This window comes from Homo sapiens, chromosome 1 (assembly GCF_000001405.40).
Source record: "Homo sapiens chromosome 1, GRCh38.p14 Primary Assembly".
Taxonomy (NCBI): Eukaryota; Metazoa; Chordata; class Mammalia; order Primates; family Hominidae; genus Homo; species Homo sapiens.
Window position 1 is genome coordinate 168504078 of NC_000001.11, and position 25375 is coordinate 168529452.

The following is a 25375-nucleotide window of genomic DNA, read 5'->3' on the forward strand; positions in this document are numbered from 1 at the left end:
AAGCTGCCCAAGCCTCAGTTCATTATCCTTTAAACAGGGTAAAGAAACCCTTCTTCAATATGATGCCACAAAGACAGAATGAGGAAATGTATTGAGTAATATACTCTCCACTCACTTCCGTTTTTCTCTTCTCCCTAGGACAGGGGCATGGAAGGACCTAGAGAAGGCGTTGATTCATGCTCTTCAAGACTCATGCTCAGCTTTGGGAGTGCAGTTGGGTTGCCTTTGCAGGAATGACCTTTTGAGACGTCACCCAGCTGCAAGCTGGCTCTGGCTCCTTATTGCCCCACCACAGCTATTGCCCAACTCACTGTAGGGAAAGAGTGGCTTGGTTTTTTTTCTTCAAAACTAAGACTTTCAGGAAAGTGAGCTGCAGTATCTGGAAAATCCAGATATGTTAAGTCACAGTATAAAAGTCTCTTTTACTCTTTCAGGACCATTTTTCCTTCTCTTCTGTGACACCTTCAGCCTTTGCAGAGAGATTGTGGGCAGGAGACCTGTGACATGGGTGTTTGCCTCTAGGAAGCACAGCAGAGACCAAAGCAGGGCACAGTCATTTCCACCCTGGCTTAGACTGTACTGCTCAGCACCGTGACTGGAGGTTACAAGGCCTTTGGCTGTAAGTTTACCTCTACAGGTTTTACTACTTAAGGAACTCCTGCCAATGGACTTTTCTTAAGCCTCAAGGTCAAGTTCAAGTTCCATGCTGGCTCTGTAGAGTTTTCTTGTCCTTTGCAACACAAATAATGGCCAGTCTCTTTAATTGATTCCCCTTAGTTCTGCTTGATTTTCAGTTTTTCACCTTACTCTCTCTAAGTATTAACAGTGACCTTCATGGGAACTGTGGTTGTTACCTTATTTCTTTCTTTGTTGAGTGCCTAGATCCTTGCCTGGAACTTGGCTGATGTCTAATAAATGACTGTTGAATTGAATGTTGACTGCCTGCCTTCCTTTCTGCCTTTTTATATATTACTATGGTTCCAGAACTTTCTACCATCTATCTCACAGATTCCTCATTAGACCCTTACATTGAGATTGTTCATTTCATTGGTCCTGAGGGATTCCCTTGACCTTTCCCCACTCTGTAAATACCAAGTTAGTCTAGCAGAGTGAAACAAAAAGTGAAGTTGGGACTAGACAGACTGGGCTTGGAATACTCATTTTTCAATTTACTTACTGCTCTGACCATGGGCAAGTGGTTCACCATCTCTGAGTCTTGCAAAATGGGGCGATAATGTCCAGAGCTGCTGCTGATAGCCCAAATAGCATCTTTGTGTGAATTAGAAAAGGGAATCTCCAGTGGCCTGTGGACCCTTCATGTGGCAAGCCGGGTGTGAGTTGGATTTTTAGCCTTTACTTGCTCCCTTGGCTGGTACATTCTGTAAAAATCATTCAAGGCAGCTCTTAAAGGACCTCTCTCCCAAGGCTGGCATGAAGGCTAAATGACACTGAGCAAGGGAAGAGCCTGGCAGAAAGCAGGGAATGAAAATGTTTTATTTTTTTGGTGCCCAAAATGAAAATAACACCATGTTACTTACAGTGTACATCCACTTTCCCTCCCATTAACTCCCACCTCTGCCAACCCAAAGTCCTCTATCTGTCCTGTACCATGGGAAAATCCTAGGCAATACTGAATTATCAGTGAAGTTAGCTACTGGAGTCTCACATCTCTTCTAAGGGTATTGTGTCCCCACCCCTACTCCAGCTTCATGAGCCCATTGCCTTCACTCTCTCTCTTTCCTCTTCTCCCTGCTCCAAACAAATTTTGTTTCTGGAAAGAAGCTGATCTCCGCAGTTTGAGCCTTTTCATCTTTCTAATTGTGTACTTACAGACTTTCTCTGCTTTTGGAGATAGCTCTGGCATTACTAAATACATGTGGGTCACAAAGTAATTACTTCTTCTGAGACATAAGGCAGATCTAAAAATGGACCCCTACAAGAGCTAGCATCTTATTGACTGAAACAGATCTCCCTAGATGCCCCAGTAGATACATGACATTTTGATAATTATATCTTTATCAGACACTAAAGTAAACTAATGCACTTTAAACCAAGCAATGTACACACCAACATTTCCTCTATATCTCTGACCCCATCCCATCATCAAGTCTTACAAAGGTCTGGTTGGTGTTTCTCCCCCTTTTTCTTTCTGATCTCTCCTGTGTACTGTAAGAGAGCAGTTAGGATTGCTCACATCTTTGTCCTTAAAGCTCCCAGTGGCAGAATATAGGAGGGAGAGTGGGAGGGGAGAAGATGCTAACTTCATCCTGCTCCTTGGTGTGCCCTGAATCCCAAACAGAAGTAGCCCTGAAGCACACTGGGACAGAGGTTTCAAGACTCTACAGTCTCCTAAACCTCACCCGAGTCTTGAGCTGGATGCTTGACAGGATTGCAGAACTCCTTTGCACAGTGACTCCGACCCAGTTTAGAGGGCTGAAATTTTAGATGTTGAACGTCCCAGGAAACCAAGCAAATCATGAATAAAGAAAAGGCTCACAAGCCATCGTTTTACATCTTGGTTAAGTTTTTGCTATGGTTTTTGTTGGTCTATTGTCAGTATAGCAGAGTGACTAAGTAATGGGTCATGAAGTGGATGATCTGGGTTTGAATCATCGCTTACACTTGTGTAGCTGTGCGAATGTGGACAAATAATATTTTGTGTCTCAAATTTCTTTTCAGCACAATGTGGATGATAATGGTACCTATGTAATTAGATTATTAGGAAGGGTAAATGAAATAGTGCTGATAAAGTGCCCAGTACAATACCTGGCACATTGGAAAAGTGCTCATAATCGCTAGCTGGTTATTCCTACCAGAGATAATAGTGACAACCAAAAGCATTCTCTTCTTTCCTGAGGAAGATTCATTTGAAATACATTTTTTGTTGTTGTTAAATATGCTAATTGGGATTTTGGAGAGCTTTCCCTAGCAAAGCAGGGAATGCTGCAGTGTGATGTTATGGAATGACCATCATTAGACTTGAATAGAAAGACCCAGCAAGGTATTAGTTCTGTTTCTGTCTTTATTAGACTATAATCTTGAACTCTTCACCCAAGAGGGCTTCACCTCAGTTTCCTAATCTGCAGAACAAAAGGATTGCATGAGATTAACTCTATGATCCTTTCCAGCTGCAAAGCCCTGTGATTCTTTGTTTATACTGAATATCTCTGGCTCAGGGAAGAGGCTGAGTCCGGACTCAGGTCCAAATGAAGGCTTGGCATATTGGTCAGTAGTTGGAAGGCCTGAGTTGTTGCCATTCTTGCCTTTGATCACTCACATTTGTTTCAGCAAACCGAACAGGTGAAGTCAGGGCTCTATCAGCTTGGACTTCCACATTCTTGCCTGAGCAGGTGGCCTTACAGCAACAGGCTTCCCAGGCAGACAGTTAAATGTTGGCAACTTATTCCACACAGAGACGCCAGAGGCCTGGGTGGTTCTTATTACTGCTGCCTAGTCTCTCTTGTTTCCTAGTTCTTGGGGAGGCCAAAATATTAAAAAGTGAATTCAGACATCTAATTAGACTCCAAAGCTGTGCTCTTGGGCAATCTGCTCTGCTGCATTAGTAATACTGAATCTTTATTATAAAAACTCTGGCAATTAGTCAATGGAGATGAATTAGTTGATGAGTAATTATCTATGTGAAAATTAGTCTATATGCAATAACAACTTCTTATAAAACAGAAATAAGACAGCATATGGGTAGGTTGGAACAGACATACAGACCATGAGGCCTTAGAGTCATTTGTGGCTAAAAAGTCCTCCACTCTTGGGGTCAAATGGCTGCTCTGTTACTGTTGGTCTGCTCTGATACTTGGCCATCCTCTCTCTCCCTCCCTCACAAAGAAGTCGTGGCCACACTTGGATATGTGGTGAAGGAACTAGCAATTGCTGGCTTTAATTTTAGGGCATAGAGGTTACTGGAGAGGAAAGCTATGCAGGTGACACAGATTTGTGCCACCCTGAATTCCCTCCCCAGGTAACTCCAGGAAATCTTGTCTACGTTTCCTCCAAGAAGGAAGTATGACAACTAGGCCACCCTGGCACTGTCACAGATGGATAGCACCAGAAGGGTCAAAGTGGACTGTGAGGATATTAGGGCTGATTTGTAACAGGTTCCCGTGTCACTAGAGCTCTTACGTGATCCCTTATAGGCACCCATAGAAGACTCAAACAGCACTGTGTACATTGGCTTTGGGGATCATGGGGCTAAAGGGTCTGAGGGGATGCAGTCTTCTTGTAATGCTGGATGGGAAAACACTTCCCATGAAGATATCATAGTTATTGTTTGCTCCTTAAATCTTAAGAGATACAAAAGAGTTTTCAGGTGGCTGCCCTAAAGAAATTGGCCAGTGGTTGCTCCCAGAGCATAAGAATAGATGGCTTCTCAGCGTGCTCATATATGCAACCCAGATGTTTGCTATGATTATTTGCCTTTTAAGGTTCAGATTTGACTCAACTGAAAATAATTTTACTTGGAAGCTCAATGCCTTTTCTTAGATTTCTGCAGTTTCACAAAGGGGCTTATGTTTCATAATTATCGTTAGTTCTGAGCCTCTGTGGCCATTGAATAGTTTAGCTTCTAGACCATTTTTTTTTTGTGTGTGTGTGTATAATTGTTGTTCTGCACTGGTCAGTGTGGCTAGGAAACTCAGCCCTGGTGTTTGATTACACGCACACACATACACACACACATACACACGTGTCATTTTTGTTGTGGGTCTAGCAGACTTTACCAAAGGACTGAAGGTTGGAAGAAAAGGCAAAGAAGTGTGGCATTTACTTCAAGCAATCAAGCAACTTAAAAATTTCAAATTTATTATGAAATACTTTTGTTAATAAAGGACCTTTGGATAGTCTACTCTGTTACTTGGCCATCCTCTTCCTCTCCTTCCTGCTTATTTTTTGGCTTGTTTACTCGATCTACTCATATACTTGGGGTTTCACCTTCCTCCCCAGTGATTCCCTAAAGATGGCTCAATCTCTAAGGAGATTCTGATGCCAGATGTTCACATAATACCTTCCTGCACATGCTACATATGTAGCATTGAGAGGAGTCTTAGGGCAGAGCTAATTTCTGATCTATGTTTATGTCTCAGCTGTGAAACAGTGGTCAGTCAAGCTGTACATGCTTCAGTCTGTTTCATCTCCAGGCCATTTTGTTTTATCCTTTCAAGAAACTGATTACCTTGTACAGACCATGTACCTTTATCACTGGAGTGAGTTACTTCAGGAATCTCACTAAATTCTTAGTCAATGATTGCTTACTCCTCTCTGATGTGTTAACTGGTGGCCCTTCTGGAATTCTGCCTTCTATCTATTCCCAAGACTGGGGCTCAGTAGTCACTTCCCCTTTGCTTTCTTCTTTGCGTCACTGAGAGAGAGCCCACACTGACCCCTTACTCTGGAATCTTCCTTCCTCTGGGCTCTATGCTAGCAAAGCCATTTGAAGATGTGTGTGCCCATAGTCTCAGGTGGATAGATGTATGTCTGAAGACTCTCAAGTCAGCCAATTGCCATTTTCCTAGGTCTCTCTTCCTCAGAGAAGTGCTCTTGAATGGTATTTTTTTCCATAGAAACTTCCTTTTAAGTCACCAATTAGTAGAAACTTGTTTAGAATCCACTACATTTTTGTGATCATGTATTAGTGCTGTGAATCATTATATTCTGCCCAATATTGAAGTTTTCATCATATTTTCATTCCTACTTTATATCTGATCTAATCAGGAACATATTGTGTTGGGTGAGTATAATTTAAATGCTCATTTCTGCTATGTGATACTTAGCCCCAAGCTTTTCTTTGGTCTTTGAAGGGCAATCTCATTCGTTTTACATTGCTCAGAACCCAGAATAGGCTGACTTGAATGCTTAAAATAGCCCAATGTCCCCATAAGCAGTGTGTAGTGGAGTCAAGTCACTGCAGGGGAAAGTCCACATCTCGGGTGTTATTGTGGTCAGAAGAAAGGTAAATGCCACAACTCCTTTCAGAGCTGCTCCTGAACGTCAGAGGGCTGCACCGTCTCTGCAGAGTTTGTGAGAGAGCTGGGCTGAATGACAGGGCCTGCTGTGTGACCTTACATGGCCTGCTGAGTCCTGGTTCCCAGGTCTGCCTTCCATCTTGCTGATGCAGAAAGAGACACATTTCCAAAATCTGTAATGAGACAGAACTGGGGTGGGAGTGCTCAGGAAATAACCCCTGATAGAGCCCAGAGGGAGAAACCACTGCAATCGAATGAAAGGACACTTCTTTCATGAGGCATCTGCATAGGGTTGAGAACAGGACTAAGGCATGTTGTGGGTGGCTAAAAAGCGGATGGGGTGAAAGTCCAAACTCACTGTCAAGAAGGTGATGTGTGAAGTGTGGGGGCTGAGGCTGAGGAAATGGGAGGACAGAGATCTGGGCTGGCAGAACCGAAGGAGGAGTGTTATCTGGGGGTAAGGGATGACTTGCTGGGGAGGAAGGTGACTTTCCATCTCTTCGCAGTGGTGCTGGGTGGTGGGAAGAGAGGAGGAAGCTGGGCTGGATGACGTAGTTTGAGCTGGGTGAGGAGCACATCATGACTTGTTATTATTTGTTGAAGATGTCTGATGCACGGCAAGATCATGGAGGAACCGCACATGTGGGATTGACTGACGTAACCAGCTGAATATACTCATCTGACCTGGAGAACCCTATAGGGGGAGAGTTAAATGTATTGACTTTCGCTCTAGACTTTAGTTCTGATGAACACAAAGTCATATGATTATTTAGATCCCAGCCTCACTGTTACTTCTTCAAGGGACTTTCCCTGATGCCTCACATTAAATTAAGTATCACAGACATATCCACACTATTAACAGCTGCAATTTTCCTTATTAGCACTTATTGGTATAATTAATCGATTCTACGTTCATCTGTTTAATGTCTTTCACCCTCTAGACCATTATGTTTCACAAATGCAGGAAGTGTTTGTGTCTCATTTATCATTGCATTTCAAAACCCAGCATGGTTTAATAATTTTTTGTTGAATGCATGAATACACACAAAAAAATGTTCACTGAGCACCAACTGTGTGCCAACTCTGAGGTGACTGCTTTGAGGAGATGGCATGAGAAGTCGGTGACAGACCTTCTTCACTGCATGGCTTGCAGGGCTGTGGTAGAGTCACACACACAACAACACAAGGCAAAGCACAGAACCAGCCATCAGAGAGGAGCAAAGGGGCTCACAGAGAAGACGGCAACTAGTAATGCCCTGTTTATAATTACCAGTTGCAAAGACTGTGAATGAAATAATCAATGAATCCTCACAATGAGACTGTGGGGAATGCAGGGTGGACATTATTATTTCTTTTTCACAGAGTGGAAATCAAGGATCAGAGGTGGTCTGAGATTTGCCCAGAGTGGTGGTGTTAAGTTTTTCCCTAGTACACCAATTTCTCATTCTTTTTGAAACAGATCTTGAAGATTGAGAATTCTTTTTTGTTGTCTTATACTGTGAGAGAAGATTGACAATCAGAAATTGACGGAAGGAATGGAGACAAAGCATTCAAGAAGGAGGGAACAATATTAGAAAAATCACAGATGTTGAACATTCTAGGATCTGGGAATCAAAGCTTCGAGTTCATTAGGGCTAGAGGAAATTTAGATCATTTAATCCAAGTCCTTTATTTTATAGATGCAGAAACAGACCCAGAGAGATGAAGTTACCCTGTCCACAGGCTCAGGGCTGGTTAATGTTAGAGGGATTAGCTGGGAGCAGGCCTTTGCTCATATCTACTTCACAGCATTCCTATAGCATCCTATGAAGTGGATTCTGGAATTGTCTCTAGTAGAGGAAATTGAGCCTTAGGAGATTAGGAAATTTAAATTTGCTGTGCTACTGACCAGGAAATCTAGGATTTAATCCTGTGTCTTAAATGATCCAAAGCCTGAGCTCTTCATTATGGTCTTCTCAAGTCTTTAGAAATAGTTTTGGAGGCTGTTGCTGGGACTCAGGGAAAGCATCACAGTGAGACGCTAACAGCAGGGTTGGAACTGGTGTCTACAGAGTTGAAAGGCAGGGCAGCTCTTTTCTACTACATTAAAGACTTAGTGTAATTTTAAGGATGTGGAGAAGGCTCTCCTTCCTAATAATAACTCTGTGTCATCATTCTGCTGATATCAGGAACTCTATTAACCTAAAGGATTTTTATTTCATGAGAGAATACTTAAACATAATTCCAAGTAAAGCCAATTCACTAGGTTGTGGATTTATTGGGGCTAACGGCAAACCCAAGGTGAGTTTTGAGCACACTGAGTTTGAGGTAAATAACGTGAAATAAAGTTAGCACTTATTAGTGATAATCATATCACTGAACTTGCATCTTGTGCTGCCCCAGCACCAAGCCCAGGGCATACAGGTTACCTTGTGTGACCTTTCAACCCCCATGTGGAGGACATTCTGCTTTCACTCCATTTTACAGATGAGGAAGGGGAGGCACAGAGAGGTGAGGACATTTGCGGAGAGTTACAAAGCCAGCAAATGGTGGATCCAAGATGTGAACTCAGGTAGGCCGTCCACTCTTTTAACTACCCCATGGGTCCAGAGCTCAGGATGAGTCATGGAAAGTTTTAATATGGTTGATCATCAGAGACATTACTAAGAAATGGAAATAGCCTATTAGGTTAGCAAGTTTTTGATATTACTCTGCTTCTACACCTGCCATGGGAAACTGTGGCATTGTTTGTTTTCAGGGAATTTTTCTGGTCTAGTTTAAGAAACTTAGAAAAGTGTGAGAAATCTTGCCACCGTATCTTAGACACCTGCTAAACCTCACATCACTTATCCTCAGGTTCAACCTGTCTTCCGGCTGTTACTTCTGTTAAATATTGCCTCCTGTCAGATACTCCATTGACAGAGTCGCAGATTTCTGGTATTCAGTTCCAATGATCCATCTGAAGGCTCCTGTGCTGTTTGCTGATGTCACCTGATGGACTGGCATTTTACTAAAGTGCACACAGGCCCTTTGATGTTTCAGCATCATTTAGCAGTCATTTCCTATGTCCAAAAGGTTTCTGGGGAAACCTGAAAGGGAGGGATTGGGGGAGGGCAAGTGTCAAGAAAGGTTAAATGTCAAGGAGGAAACTAAAGATCACTGACACGGGAGTTAAGGCATCGGATAAGGGCTCCCAGCACCCTCCAAGGTTCTTGTGCTGCCTCGGGCTTTGAGGTGTCATAGAAAGTCCATGACGTTTTGCATGCCAGCAGTGTCCACTGAGCCTGAGGTGGAGTACTGGCTTTGACAGGCTGGACTGCTGAGGTGGGTCTGGCTTCAGTCAAAAATAGATGCGTTTTGTGATAGCTGTTGCGAGCAGACGGTGCTGCACTTACTTATGTTAAAAATAAAAGTGCTGCCAAATGCTAAGGGACTTCAAAGTCACAAAGAAGTGTACTTGGGGGAATCTGCCACTTCCTGTCGTGCATATGAGAGTTTAGAGAGAGACTGACCGCAGCGTGTGCAGCATGGAAGCCAATTTGATGTTCGTAATGTACAGGGAGAGTGGAGAGCATTGTAGCGTCCACTCCCTGATGCGACGGAGGGCTGGATACAGATTTATTCGCCTCAGAACTCTGATGTTTGTGCAGGGCACTTCCAGCACACCATGTAACCAAATCCTATCCATTTACAAAACAAACAAACAAACAAACAAAAATCAATTTACTGCCTCCTTGCTTTCTATTTCCCTCACTGCCTGTGGTCTCCTGAAGGCCAGGGCCTGTGTCTCACTCAGAATCTCCAGGGCATAGCACAGCGCGCCAGAGAATTCTCTTTTGAATAAAGAAGTCTCCGTCTAGAGCACTGTGTCCATCCCCTTCTTGCCTCATCAAGGATACCACTCCTTATTGTTTCTTCTCTTTTTGTGGCAGATAAATGATCCCGTTTCCACAAAGTTTGTCTTCAGTGGCCACTGCACATTCTACCCCAATGCCTTCCACTGTCCTACCATGCCCTGATGAGAGGGACTGCAGGGGGAGTCTTCTCCCTGCCACCTCTCTGTCCCTGGTGTGATGGGCAGGTGAACCTCATTGCCAGTGACTCTGTTGGTGTTATGGGTAGATGGGGGCACTTGTCCCAAAGGAGTCAAAAAAGTCGGAGTGGAAACAATGACTCAGCTTGTCTTGTTCCGAGTCCGTGATAAAGAAGTCTGCTTTCTATTTGGCTGGATCTTTGACTTGGCTTCCTAGAGTCATCAAGAGAATACAAACAATCAGAAGAGAACTTCCACCTGCTTCCGTCCCCACTTCTCTCAATCTACTTTTCCTCCAACGAATGAAACATCTCTGTTCCTACCCAAGCCAAACCTTCCTCCAGGGCCCTGGACCCCATGTCCTCCTACCCATCAAGGGCATCACTCCAGCTTTGTTTCTGCTCTCTGGCATCTCTCCCACCCCTGGATTTTCCAATCAGCATATAAATATGCAATGTTGTCCCATCTAAAATTAAATCTGTCTTGAATGTACATGTTCCTTGATCTATTAGCCTATTTCTCTGCTCCCCTTTTGAGCCATAAGCTGAACTCCTCAAAAGGGTTATCAGTACTAGCTGTCTCCACTTCCTTTTCTTTTGAACACATTACAGTCAAGTTTCTTTTTCCTTTTTTTTTAAGTTTCTTTTCTTTCATCACTGAAAAACCAAAACAAAACAGAAATCCCACCTGCTTTTGTCAAGGTCACCAGTGATTAGGATGGTGATTTGTCTTACTCTATTCGGATCAGTTCTGGCTTTACGCATGTTGTCCTGTCATGTTTTAATTATCAAGAGCTTCTTTCTTCACTCTGAAAAGTGTTCTGATTTAGGCAACAGATTATTATATGGCCACTTATATCTCAGTAAATGACAACTCCTTTTTTTTCACTTTCTCGGGCCCAAGTCCTGGAACCATCTTTGCCTCCTCTCTTTCTCTCACAGACCCATATAATTCATTAGCAAATATGACATCTTTAAATTCAAAATATATCCACAATAGCATTATTTTTTTCCATCTTCTCCAATATTCCTGTAGTCCAGGCTACTGTCATTTTTACCTACTTTTTTAGTCACCTGCTAACTGGTCTTTCTGCCTCCACCTTGCCCCTCACTCCACCTAGAGTCTGTTGGTTACACAATAGCCAGGATGATTCTTGAGGCTCTCCCTGACCTGGCCTGGTCATCTACCTCTCTGCCCTCTACGACTCACCTTCTCAACTCCAGCCACACCAGCCTCTTTGTTCTTCAAGCACACCAAGAATATTCCTATTTCATCTCAGTATCTTTGCATTTGCTGTTCCCTCTTCTGAAATTCTCTTCTGGGTTTCCCTGTGTCTCACTTCATCATGTCTGTTCAAATTTCAGCTTATCACCTTTCCAGACAGCCCTCTTTCTATACAGTAAGACCACTACCACCATTACCTCCTCACAAACACTCTCTGTTTCCCCTTATCCCTCTTAATTTTTCTCTGTTATAGTTAACAACCCATGACATATTCTTTCTGTCTCTTCTGCTATAAGATAAGCTCATGAAGACAGGGACTTTATTTTGTTCTAGGCTTTATCCCTAGCACCTAAAACAGTTCATGGCATGTAATAGGCACGTGATAAATATTTGTTAAGTGAAAGAATGTACAAATAGATTTCTAGCCTTAAAAATGAGATCAATGACACATTTTTCAAAAACTTAAAAGTTGGTATCCATTGTGTACTGCAAGAGATACACATAAGATATGAAAAAAACCCAAAACTACAAAGGCTGTTTGTTTTCCAGCTTTTTTGAGAATAATTTGACACACTTACTTATGTTATTTGTATATATTCATGGGGTACAAGTGCCATTTTGCTACACTGATAGATTGCATTGTAGTAAAGTACATTAATCACTGGAGGAACTAAAAGGTCTTTTTGATATAAAAAGGTGACAACCAAAATGTCCCCAAACAGAGAATTTTATTTAAATTATATTATACCCATATGGAGAATATTATATAACCATAGGAATGATCAATAAATAATGGCAAGTGCTTATAATATGATGCTAACACAAAAATGAAAAAAGAAAACTAACTGTAGAGTCTCAAATATGTAAACATATGAATGTGTCCTTGGGAAGAAAAACCATGGAAGAAAATGCTCCAAAACATGAATAGTGGTAATTTCTAGATGGTAGAACTACAGGAAATTTAAATAGTCTTTATTTTTTTCTACCTTTTCCAAAATTTTCATCACACATATATTTTGTTTTACCATCAGAAACAATAACTTATTATATATTTGGAAAGTGATGGCATTCTAAATTCACTGAGATAAGATGTTTTCTTTGAGTTTTTACAAGTGTGGTAAAGATTTTGATAGGTCCACACATTCTCTCCTGAATCTATTAAGGCTAACACTGTTCATTTGGAAGTCAGCTGGCTGAGTTGGTAGCCCATGACCTAGGAAAACACAGGTTCAAAATTCTTGGTAGCAATATTATCTTTACTCATTAAAACAAGCTTGTTGGGGTTAGTAGTTGTTAACACTGGGTTGCCATTATATAATGAATAGGGGGTTGTTAACATAATAATATTTAATTCAGTAGATCTCTGAGTAATACAGAGTACACAAGTAACTATTATTAATCTTATTTTGTGAGGCTTTATTTTAATCTTTCATTAAACTTCTTCTCTTCTTTGTGCAAAGAAGGTGACAACATTCTTCTTTTAATTATTAGAGATAATAGTTTAAGTCTAAATGCTTGTGAGAGTGCTAAAAGTATTTTATGAAGTTTTAATTTATTGCAGAGGAAGGGTTGGCCAAACATAACATAGGTCCACTATTCAAAAAATCTGAAAGTCAAAAATCAAATTAACTGTTAAGATCCATGGAGTCAAATTTAAAATTTCTGTTCTTATTCTTCTTTGCCATCTGACTCTCGTGATAGAAATATGGAGACTAAACTCATGAGAATCTCAGGTAAAGATATCATGAATATGCATGTGCTCATTTCCCTCCTCCTTTGAATAGCTGTCTAAGCTGGGACCCAAGTTTAAAAGGGTCATCCATTAAAAATTTATATTTTGGGGTGAGAAGGATTTGACAGAGTAATAGTGAGAATAGGCAGCATTGTGCTGCCGTTAGCCAGCTTGGGAACTAGCTTGTAAATTGTGGAGTCTCATCTTTGTCACCGATCATTAGAAAAAAATCTTAACAATAAGAGTACAATTTAAAGAATAACAAAATGAACAACTGTGTATGTAGCCACCATGTAGGTTAACAAAGAGACTACAATAAGTAAAATGTTCTCGTGAGTGTCTCCCCAGTCTTACTATCCCTCACCCCTGAGATAACCACCTTTCTGAATTTTGTGTTAATCACTCTTTTGCTTCGATTTATAGTGCAATTACATACATATTTCTACACAATATGTTGTTGATATTTTGCATATTTTGAGCTTTACATAAGTGGAATTATACTGGATATATTTTGCTAATGTACGTTTCTTATAATATTAATTGAGATTTTTTTCAAATCAATCCATGCATCTGGAGTTTATTCTTTTTGCACAATATTCCATTGTGTGGACATACCACAATTTATTAATCTATTCTACTTCTGATGGACATATGGGTTATATTCAGTCATTGCTATTACAAAGGCTGCTATAAATATTCTTTTAAAAAATATGTGAAGGTAGGTATCTATGTAGAATGAGAAAATAAATCACAATAGATTATGGGGGCGTCTCCCCTCTGAGGCAGTTTTCCAGGCAATTTACCAGGGGTCTTCTCTAGAAATGCTTTCTACTTGTAATGTGCCTTCCCATCTCCATATAGAATATTCTACAACTCTCAGCAAAAACTCTTGGCCCATTAAATGGGCCACTGCAAGAAAAAGCCTGAAGCTTAAGCTTCATGAGTTTTTGGTACATCCTCTTTGGCTGGGCTCCCATCTGGGTTTAGAATTGTGGGCAGAGTCGGATGTTGGATGGGCCAGACTCTCTTTCAGTGAGTGGAATGGTCCAGTCACAGGTAAGAGCCTGATGGGAGAGAGCTAGGTCTTGCTGAGTCCCTATCATGTGCCTGGCACTGTGCATGGCATATTCTAGGTACTTCTTTCCCCTTCCTCTGTTAGCTCCACTTCATTTGTGGAAATATGTAAGACTCAGAGAGGTGAAGAATCAACCTGGATATGTCTGATTCTGTCTTTTTCTCACTTGGTGCTGCTAACGCCTTCCTACTGGAAAAGTTTTCATCTTGGTGGAAGGAGATTTACCTGTTCTTGAGGACACATTGGGCTCAGAAAGCAACTTGTGTATCCATCCAATGTAGGAGTAAAACAGCATACACACACTCATGTTGAGCCATCTACGTATGCGTTCCTGGCTTGAGGAAGGAGTTTTTAAAAATCAGAAGGAAATGATTCTTATTTGTGGTCAAATGCAAGTGGTGTTGAGGCTTCACTGATGAGAAAATTACCACTGACATCAGTGGGGAGCTCTACTTTCATTCCAAAGAAGTCTGGTGTGTTGGTTTTTTTTTTTTTTTTTCTCAGAGCTACTTCTAACTCTTCTTAAACTTATGAACAAATTTTACTGTTTGGGCCGCATTTTTTCCATTTATAATCCAACAGTTCTCAGTCCTCTAGGGTCATTATGATGATTAATGTGAAAAGAGTTTAGCCTTTAATAGGCCTATTTGGATACAGATCACATACAGCTATGAAAAGCATTGGTATTAGTTTTATTGGTATTGAGAAAAACATTTGCAAATAACAGTAATTTAGTTCCAAAAAATTGATCTCCCTTTGATGGAAGTGAAAAATGTATTATTTTTCCTTTTTATTATGAATATTATATAAAGAGTTTATGTTCATTATGAGCATTCTTAATATATCTCCTAGAACACATGTTCAAGAGCTTCTCTAGGTATAAACCTGGGAGAAAAATTCTGAGTCACTGGATATGTGCATGTTTAGCTTTCCCGAGGGTGTGCCAAACTGCTTTCCAAAGTATTTATACAAATTTATAAACCTAGAAGCAGGGAATGAGAATTCTCCTTTCCTCTACATATTTGTCAACACTTGTTATTGTTTTACTTTCTTATTTTTAGTAATCTGGAAGGAGAGACTTGGCATTTCATTTAGTTTTATTCTTCTCCTAATTACTAATGAGGTTAAAGTTAAGCACGTTTTCATTTAATTTATGGGTTCTTTGTGTTTCCTCTTCTATGAAACACCTGTTCATAGATTTTGCCCATTTTCAAGATTTTTTTGGTCTTTTTTTTAAAAAAACTAATTGTAGGAAGTATTTTTTTCTGGATATAAATTTTTTTTTCTCATATGTGTAGCAAATATTTCTTCCTAATGGTGTCTTGTATTTTGCCCTGTTTATACATCTTTAAATGAGCAGAAGTTGTTAATTTAAATGTCATTAAATTTATCAATCTTTTTCTTTAGGGTTTTAGTTTTTGTGTGTTTGTTAGTCATAAAGATCTTCCATATTTTCTTCTACAAGTCTTTTATTTTTTTCCCCCACATTTCTTCATTGTTGTGAGATAGGGACCTTATTTCATTTCCCTCTGTGTGGTTGAACACTAGATCCAGAAGCACTTATTTAATTGTCTGTTCTTTCTCCACTGATCTACAATGCCTGGCCAGTTATAGATTAAGTGGGTCTGTGTCCACACTCTTTCTCTGCTCCATGGGTCAGTTTGCCTATTCCTTCCTGATAGCACACTGTCTTAATTACCTGCCTTTAAACCAAGTGTTAATCTCTACCTATCTTCTAGGGTATGACCTGTCCTTCTCCTCTCTCCATCTAACTCGGTAGAATTGTATACTCCTGACACTTTATTTTTAAGTAGAAAAGTATTTTAATCTGTCACTGGCCATACAGCCAAAAGTGAATGTGCCACCTCTCCCTTTTTTCAAGGACTCTTTATCTTACAGAGTTGTTTTGAAAATCACAGAAGACATAATGAATGGAAAGGGTACTAGAGAAAAAGAAAACAGTCTTCAGTAATTTCTAGGATTAGGGAATTTTCCTTTCTTTTAAATCATTCTCTTTACTCTTCAGGTTTATTTTTCTCATCAGCTCATTGTCTCAATACATGTAATATCTCAGCTGATCTGTGAAATGAATTCAAAACTTTCAGACTGAAAGTGTAGATGCAGGAATACACTTTAAAGGTGCAACTTCCTGTGGCTGCTCATTTTTATTCTCTGCTTCTTGGACAAAATAGGTTTGGTGATTACACACCAGGCCTTGGGGCTGGGAGACATGAATATCCTTGGAAAGGGTACAGGATGAGCCGAGCCTTTAGAGACAGAAATAAACCTCACCTGTGTGAGACCCTGCAGGTGCCCCCTGCCCTCCTGCACCTACCCTCTCGTGCAGTTCCTCCCCTTCACATGCCTCACAAGCTTGCCTGGGAGCAGGGGGCCCAGGTCACAGCTCCTCCTACTCTTTTCTCACTGCCGAGATCCATCCTTTAGTAGGCAGGGGGGAGTGACAGTTAAAGACTCTGTGGCTTTCTCTGCAGTCAGTTGTGGGTGTGACCAAGCGAACGGGTACTTATATATGTTAGTATATGTCATCATGGGGGAAAAGAACAATAATGCTCTACTATCACTGTGGTGGGTTTTCCTCTCACCCAACTCAGCTCTTCTATTTTAATCTATAATTGTCCCAGCCCTTGCGCCCCTTGCAAATGTCACTGCATTCTTTCCTGCCTCCCCCTCATTCTCTTCTGTGACTTTTTAAGACTTTCTATGGGGAGGGCTTTAATTTAAGGGGGCTGGATGAATGATGCAGGATGCCTCCTCGCTTCATGTTCAGGAGGGCTGAAAACCACGTTGCTCAAGTCCAGCATATTTGCCTAAAAGAAACATGTTCTGTCACAAAATATTCTACTTCCTAACTTACCATACGAAATGACATGGAAAAATTTCCCTTTTTTTGGTCCTCTCTTTCATGCTAATACCTGAAAAGGGGAAGTAGATGGAAGTAAAGCAAATTTACATGAGGCTGAGTGCACGTGATTGAGTTCATCACTCTCCACTGAGAACTCTTCCAATGTGCACTTAGACTCTGTCCCAGTATCAATCCCAAATATGGGTACAATGAGGTGAAGAAAAATATTCAGACTGATTCCTTTTGGAGAAGATGCTATATTTATTTGTTTGGAAGAAATACTTTGATAAATTGCTTGAGTTGAATTGTGAGATTCCAGGGCATGTGCAAGCAATAACACTTGCTCTTCTAATTGTAAGGGTGAGATAAAGAGTACAATGCATTTTGCTTTGAAAAGGAGGGGTGCTAAGAGAGAAAAAAGGGACCAAGAGTGACTTGATGGAAGACTGTGGGCTATATGACGTGATACCATCCTTTCATCCCCTACTTCCCTGAAAATCAGAAAAGTTACTATCTTCCAAGTTCTTGATGGGAATGAGATATATATATATTTGCAGAAATCTGAGGAGCTGAGTGTGTCTTGTCAGCACAGATATGGAGTTGAAACAGAAACAGTATATTTAGAGGTTGGAGATGGAGGCAGGAAATATGACAAGAAAGGAGGAGTCTCTAAGAATTTGCAGAAACTAGAGAGCTTGCAAAAACTAGAATTTGCAGAAACTAGGGAGGAATTTGCAGAAACTAGAGAGTTGCAGAAACCAGAGTTTGACTTTACAAAGGCTGTGGAATTTGAGGCTTTAACCTAAACCTGGAGGTCAGAGAGACAGGTTATGACCATGAGGTTGCAGGAGGAAGGTGATGTGGTTATCATAAAGAACTGCAAAGCCTCTTATCTGGTGCAATACAACTTAGCTACTTCACAGCAGCTTGATTAGGCCCATCTCCCTTTTCTGCCAACTCTTTTTGCTTGCTGACTGTTGTACTGAAACTCTGGACAACTTGCATTGTCAGTGCTTATATGTGCTAGACAAATACTGGGTGTTTAATCCTTTCAGACTCCAGGACTCAAGGAGTTCCTTGACCACAGAAAACCTTGTAAGTATGTGTGTAGCAGTGAATCTATACACAAGCCAAGGTCTTGTCTCTTGAAACCAGAACCAGTGGCCTTCATCAAATCAAGGTACTCTCTACTTATGAGAGAAGTCTATGTGCAAATTTAATTTTGAATATTATATAAATTGAATCACATTTTATATGTGCCATAAGCTAACTCTAACCTTGAGAAAACGTTTGGAATTAACAAATACTCTGAATCTGGATCTTTAAATTCTTAGATTCTGAAGAGATTTCATAAGAAACAAAGTATGAAAAAAATAAAACTCATCTATTAATAACTTGAAACAGCAGGTGACTCTAATCTGGTAATCAGAGAGAGGACCCACATCATAAGCAATATTCACATAGTTATTTTGTAGACATGGACTAACATTAATTCTATCCATTTTATAAGACTATTTTTAAATAACAAAAATAAAATAATAAAGTTAAGGATTTATGTATACATTAAATTTAAGAACAAATGTGTAGATCACTTCCAGTCAATACAGCAAATGAAACTGATGTATACAGATCCCCTCCATTTCAAGTACATTGAAGTGCTGAGTAAAATATAAGATAATACGATACAATGTGAAGTAATTAATTTCTGGATTCAAAACTAGGGAAAGGAAATCTGGAGGTGCTAGAATAGAGAGTGAACTTAAAGACTGAACAGTGTGCAGGAGCTGGAGCTGAATAGGGCACAGCACCCAGAGAAGCAGGTGTAGACCTTACAAGTGGGGTGAGGGCTGTGATTTTCATGGGTGGAGAGACAGCAGGAGGTCTCAGCCTCCTATAAAGTGAGAAGTTGAAAATGACCTCTTTGCACAAAGCCAGACAGAGCAAATGCCCCATCCACAAAATAGACTGGAAAATATCTGTTTGACAGTCTGGAACAAGCGTGCCAGTGGGTCACATATTTTGGGAAGTGTATTGAAAAAGGGTGACCTAAGAAAAATCAAAACGTTAAACCTCTGTTGGGAGAAGGTATACAAACCTAATTTATACTACCTGTATGGTGTTGAAACTGTAAGCAAAGAAACCAACAGTAACAACAACAAAAAATCTCCACAAATCAAAAAATAGTGAAACTAGTGGGATACCAGCAAAGGCCAATGTGACACTGTTCCATGAGGACCTCTTTACCACAGACAGCAAGAGAGGGCGCTCCTTCAGAAGAAAGCATAAGTCAGAAAGTTCACTTACTTACATAAAGTACACAATATAGATAGAACCCCATGACCAACAGGGAGAGAGAAACAGAGAGAGAGAGAGAGAGAGAGAGAGAGAGAGGAAGAGATGACAAACCCAGTAAATGAGAAAACAAAATGCGAGGAAATACAGAACATAGAAAATAGAGAAGTCTGCAGGGAGTTATTTTTAAAATAACAACAGTTAAAATATTAAAGTAAATGGGCTGGGCGTGGTGACTCATGCCTGTAATCCCAGCACTTTGGGAGGTCGAGGCGGGCAGATCACCTGAGGTCAGGAGTTTGAGACCAGCCTGGCCAACATGGTGAAACCTTGTCTCTACTAAAAATACAAAAAATTAGCTGGGCATGGTGGTGTGCCCTGTAGTCCCAGCTACTCAGAAGGCTGAAGCAGGAGAATCACTTGAGCCTGGGAGGTGGAGGTTACAGTGAGCCAAGATTGCACCAATGTGTTCCAGCCTGAATGGCAGAGCAAGACCCTGTCTAAAAAAAAGAAAAAAAATTTAAAAAAAATGAAGTAAAGGATATAAAGAAAAAAATTAGAAAGAGCTAAACAAACATATTGAGAATGATAATTTAAAGAAACCTCAACAGACAGATTAAACATTAACTAGACATATTTGAAAAGAAAATAGGCAAATAGGAATTTAGCTCTGAAGAAATTAGTTAGAATACAGAACAGGTAAGGAAAATGTGGAAAATGTAGAAGAGAGGTTAAGAAAGATGGAAGATAGAATGAGAAGGTCCAACATATTTCTAATAGGAGCTCCAGACAGAGAGACTAGATGCAATAAAGGAGAAGAAATATCAGTGATGATGGCTGAGAATTTAACAAAACTGATGAGAGATGAGTTTTCAGATTGAAGAAATGCATTCAGTTCCAAGCAGAATGAATTTAAAAATTTCTACACCCAGACATATTGTAGTAGAAGTGGAAAACATCAAAGACAGAGGGAAAATTCTTAAAAGCTACTAGAAAGAAAAGATACATTTCTTAGAAAATAACAAAAAATTTCACAAGCAACGATTTTTTATAAAAACAATAAACACTAGTTGATATCTGTATTAGGTAATTCTTGAAGCACTATAAAGAAATACCTGAGGCTGGGAAATTTATAAGAAAAGAGATCTAATTGGCAGGCTGTTCAGGAAGCACAGTGGCATCTGCTTCTAAGGGGGGCCTCAGGAAGCTTCCAATCATGGCAGAAGGCAAAGGGGGAGCAGGCACATAATGTGGCAAGAATGGAGAGAGAGAGAGAGAGAGAGAGAGAGAGTTTGTGAGAGAGTGTTTGTGGGGAGAGGTGCCACACACATTTAAACAATGAGATCTCACCAGAATTCACTATCATGAAGACAGCACCAAGCCATGAGGGATCTGCCCACATGATCCACACATCTCCAACCAGGCCCACCTTTGGCATTGGGGATTACAATTCAACTGAGATTTGGGCAGGTACAAACATCCAAACTATATCAATATTATAAAAAGATGTCTTCAAAATGAGAATAAAATGTTTATGTCAACCTGGAGTCACACGGTTACATAAGCATACAAATGTGAGGCAAATAGTGACATTTTCAGAGATACAAAAACTTAATTTCCTAGTTACTTCAGTGAAAGAACTAATAAATATTACTCCTGGAGAAAAAAAATTAAACCTGAAGGAGGGATTGGGATGTTAGGAACAACTGAGGCTAAAAAACTGGTGTTATGCAGGTAATTCCAAATTAAGTACAGATGTACAAAAGGGATTAATTATTTTTAAGACAAATGGTTAAAAACTAGGTAGAACTAAAATATTATACTGTGATGGCACAGAAGATGGAACTTTTAAGACTAGAAGTAAAAGTTCTAAAATTCTTGTCTTAGCAGGGAGGACTATAGAGGATTCACTAATATGTAGATTTTCTTAAGCCAATATGCTTGTTGAATAAAACAAATAAACAAAACAAGTGTCTCTCTCCCTCAATGGGTAAAAGATTTAAACAGCTACTTCACTAAGGAAGACATAACGATGACAAATAAGCACATGAAAAGGGGTGTGATCAGTAGCTATTAAGAAAATGCAAATTGATACCACAATGAAATACCACTACCTACCTAATAAGTGGCTAAAATTAAAAAGACTGACCACATCAAGTCTTGACAGGAATGTAGAAAAACTGGAACTCCGACACATTGATGGTGGTAATATAAATGGTACGACTTTGGAAAACAGACAATTTTTAAAAAGTTAAACATGCACCCACAATATAATTCAGTGATTCCACTTCTAGGTTTTTGCCCAAGAGAAAAAGAAAATATGTCAATATCAATACCTGTATATTTATAGCAGCTTTATTTTTAATAGTCTCAAAGTGGAAAATACACAGATTTCCATCAACAGATGAGTGGTTAAATAATTGTGGTTTATCCATACAACAGAATATTACTAAGCAATAAAAAGAAATGAACTAACAATGAGAAAACATGGACGCAGGGAGGGGAACATCACACACCAGGGTCTGTCGGGAAGTGGGGGTAAAGGAGACCGAGAGCATTAGGACAAACATCTAAGGCATGCGTAGCTTAAAACCTAGATGGCATGTTGATAGGTGCAGCAAACCATGGCACATGTATACTATGTAACAAACCTTCACGTTCAGCACATGTATCCCAGAACTTAAAGTAAAATTTAAAAGATAAAAAAAAAAAAGGAAAACAACCTGCAGAAACATTTTGATTACTAATAGGGGAATTTGAATAAAGACTTTTGTATTCAATAATGTTAAGAAATTACTATTAATTTTGTTATGGGTAACAGTATGATTGTGGTTGGGTGAAAATGTCCTTATTTGTTGTTATGGCAATATATACTAAAATAAAAAAAAAAAGAAATGAACTACAAATACATGCAACAATTCCATGCTCATAATAATATCAAGTGGGCCCAGTTTGGTGGCTCACACCTGTAATCCCAGCAATTTGGGAGGCCAAGGTGGGCGGATCACGAGGTCAGGAGATCGAGACCATCCTGGCTAACATGGTGAAACCCGTCTCTACTAAAAATACAAAAAAAAAAAAAAAAAAAAAAAAAAATTAGCTAGGCGTGGTGGCGGGCACCTGTAGTCCCAGCTACTCGGGAGGCTGAGGCAGGAGAATGGCGTGAATCTGGGAGGTGGAGCTTGCAGTGAGCCGAGATCGCGCCGCTGCACTCCAGCCTGGGCGACAGAGCGAGACTCCGTTTCAAAACAAACAAACAAACAAACAAAACACCTGAGTGAAAAAAGTCAGAAACAAGAGTGTATAAGGTATGAGTCAATTTATACTAAACTCTAGGAAATGCAAACTAATCTATACTTGCAGAAAGCAAATCATTTGTAGTTTGGGGACGTGGGGGCAGGGAAGGATGAGAAGGAGGGTTATGCATGAGAAAACTTTTGGGAGTGATGGATATGTTTATTTTCTTGATTTTAACTTCATGGGTATATATATATATATGTCAAAATCTATCAAATTGTACACTTTATGTGCAAGTTATTGTATGTTACATCTCAATAAAGTAATTTTAAAAACAAAAATATTCATGTTAAAACGTAAGAATGACCACTAAAAGACTAGAAATAGAATGTATAACCTTTAAATTAGTAGAGGGAAACTAAGACAGTAAATATGACTTGATTCACCCAATGAATATGGGACAAGGGGGAAAAAATAGAAGAAATCATGTCTAAAAGAAAAAGTAAGATGGTGTAAATCTGGGGTCAGCAAGCTTTTTTGTAAAAGGCCAAATAATAAATTATTTTGGCTTTGTAGGTAATATCCTTATTGCAACGATTCAGCTTTACTGGTTGAAGGATAAAAGCAACCATCCTAGATGGCTGAGAGTGGCTATGTTTCACTAAAATATTATATACAACAGCACACGCTGGGCTACATTTTTCCCATGGGCCATAATTTGTCAGCTCTTGATATAAAAAATGTTTGTCAATAATCACAATATAAATAGAGTAACCCTATCTATTAAAAGAGTAGATTAAAAATTCAGCTATTTGCTACTTACAAACACACTTTTAAAAACGTAATGATAAAAATAAGTTGAAAGACAAAGATTGGAAAAGACGTGCCAGTAACCTAGCAAATAAAAGTCTAGAAAACAATAGCAGTCTAGCAACAACCAACATTTCTAGAGCCAGGCACTGTGGTTAGTGCTAAGGTCATGTAGTTGGCAAGTGCCAAGCTGGAATCCAAGCCACGCCATTTGTCTTCAAAGTCCACATTTTAAAACATCACTGTATTTTGACTATCAAACAAAACTGAATTTGAGGAAAGAAATAGTTAAAGGTATACAAAGTGATTTTACTGCATGAAAAGTGGTGGGAAAAGTGTCTAAACATGTAACAGCTGTGAACCCATATGCATCTAATAAAATTGGTATGCACGTGCATGCGTGTGCGCATGCACGCGTGCACACACACACACACACACACACACACACACACACACGAGCATTATATGGAGAAATTGACAAATCCAGAATCATAGTAAGGAATTTCAACACATCTTTTCCAGATCACGCAGATAAAACATTGCGAAGAAATACATGTATAAAATATATCAGTGCAAGTAACAACCTTGATCTCATATATTAAAATTTACACTCAACACATAAGAAATATTTATTTATAGAATTATTATAAAAATTGACCACAGAGATAAACATCCCGATCAATTTGGCTATTGTTTTCATTAAAGCAATGAGGTACTTAGAAATAAATCTGACAAAATGTTTGGAGAGACGGCATGCCGTATTGGATGAGCACAAGAACTCTGGGACCGAGTTGCCTGGATTCAAATTCTGATTGTTATACTTTCCAGATGTGTGACCTTAAGAAAATTAGTTAACCTCTCTGTGCTTAAGTTTCCTTATTTGTAACATGACAATAGAATGGGGGAAAATAATTGTTATATTTCATAAGATTGTTGTGAGTCTTAAATGAATTAATGATTTATGAAGTGCTTAGAATAGTGGCTTGGTACATATAAGTGTTCGTTAAATATATACCTAAACGTGAACAAAACCCACACAGAAAATATTGGAGGATGTAAAAATAAACCCAAATCAAGGAAAGTTAGACCAAGATTTAATATTATAAATACGTCTATTCTCCTCAAACTAATGAATATATTCAAAACAGCTTTAATCAAAATATAAAAGTTTTGTTTTATTTAGGCAAAGAGTATCTAAAATTCACATGGAAAGATAGTCAAGAAATCAAGACTAGTTTAAAGGATAACATGAAGAAGATGTTAACAGGCCATACAAATAAAATACCATGATAATAGCACTATATTAAATAAAGTCCACAGAATTGAATAGATAGGTCAGAAGCAAACCTAATCACATATAAGACCATGATATATCATAGAAATGTTGTAACAAATAAATGGGAGAAATAATTGACATTTTTTAGTGTACTCTAAACGTTTTCAGTCATAACCCACAGAAAAAAATATATTTTATTTTATGTTTCAGTACTCAACCAAAGCATATGTGTGTATGTGTTCTGTAAACACTGTTTACCTTTACTATATGAAATGTAGTCTAATATTTTCTATATAATTTAGTTTTTTAAAAAATGGTAGTTACAATCCACTAATTTAAAAAAAGCCCCATTAATATATTACAAATATAGAGTCTGAAAAATACTGGATTAGCTATAAATGTATAGAGAAAACTACCTTTCCATACTGAAAAATATAAAAATAGATCCTTACTTCATACTATACTTCAAAAAAAATTCCAGATAAAGTGGCTAAATATGAAAAACCTTTCAATCAAAATATAATACTTTGATGTTATACTTTTATGTTACACAATGATAAATGACAAAGAAAAACATCAAATAGTTTGAAAACTTCAATTTAAAACTTCTCCATTACTTCCATATAACTAAGAAAATAGGCCGGGCTTGGTGGCTCATGCCTGTAATCCCAGCACTTTGAAAGACTGAGGTGGGAGGATAATCTGAGGTCGGAAGTTTGAGACCAGCCTGACCAACATGGTGAAACCCTGTCTCCACTAAAAATACAAAAATTAGCTGGGGGTGGTGGCATGTGCCTGTAGTCCCAGCTACTCAGGAGGCTGAGGCAGGAGAATTGTTTGAACCCAGGAGGCAGAGGTTGCAGTGAGCTGAGATCGAGT

The 25375-nt window shown here is 39.2% G+C and overlaps 3 annotated features.

The window, feature by feature from the left end:
* Positions 5881-7080: an enhancer, noted in NCBI's record as "BRD4-independent group 4 enhancer chr1:168479196-168480395 (GRCh37/hg19 assembly coordinates)". NCBI's record gives its function as "activates an origin of replication core promoter dependent on BRD2, P300/CBP, MED14 and CDK7 cofactors, and independent of BRD4, by STARR-seq in HCT116 cells {active_cell/tissue: HCT116}" and the evidence as "EXISTENCE:reporter gene assay evidence [ECO:0000049][PMID:35650434]".
* Positions 6123-6182: an enhancer, noted in NCBI's record as "active region_2061". NCBI's record gives its function as "activates an Ori minimal core promoter by ATAC-STARR-seq in GM12878 lymphoblastoid cells {active_cell/tissue: GM12878}" and the evidence as "EXISTENCE:reporter gene assay evidence [ECO:0000049][PMID:35858748]".
* Positions 8330-9529: an enhancer, noted in NCBI's record as "BRD4-independent group 4 enhancer chr1:168481645-168482844 (GRCh37/hg19 assembly coordinates)". NCBI's record gives its function as "activates an origin of replication core promoter dependent on BRD2, P300/CBP, MED14 and CDK7 cofactors, and independent of BRD4, by STARR-seq in HCT116 cells {active_cell/tissue: HCT116}" and the evidence as "EXISTENCE:reporter gene assay evidence [ECO:0000049][PMID:35650434]".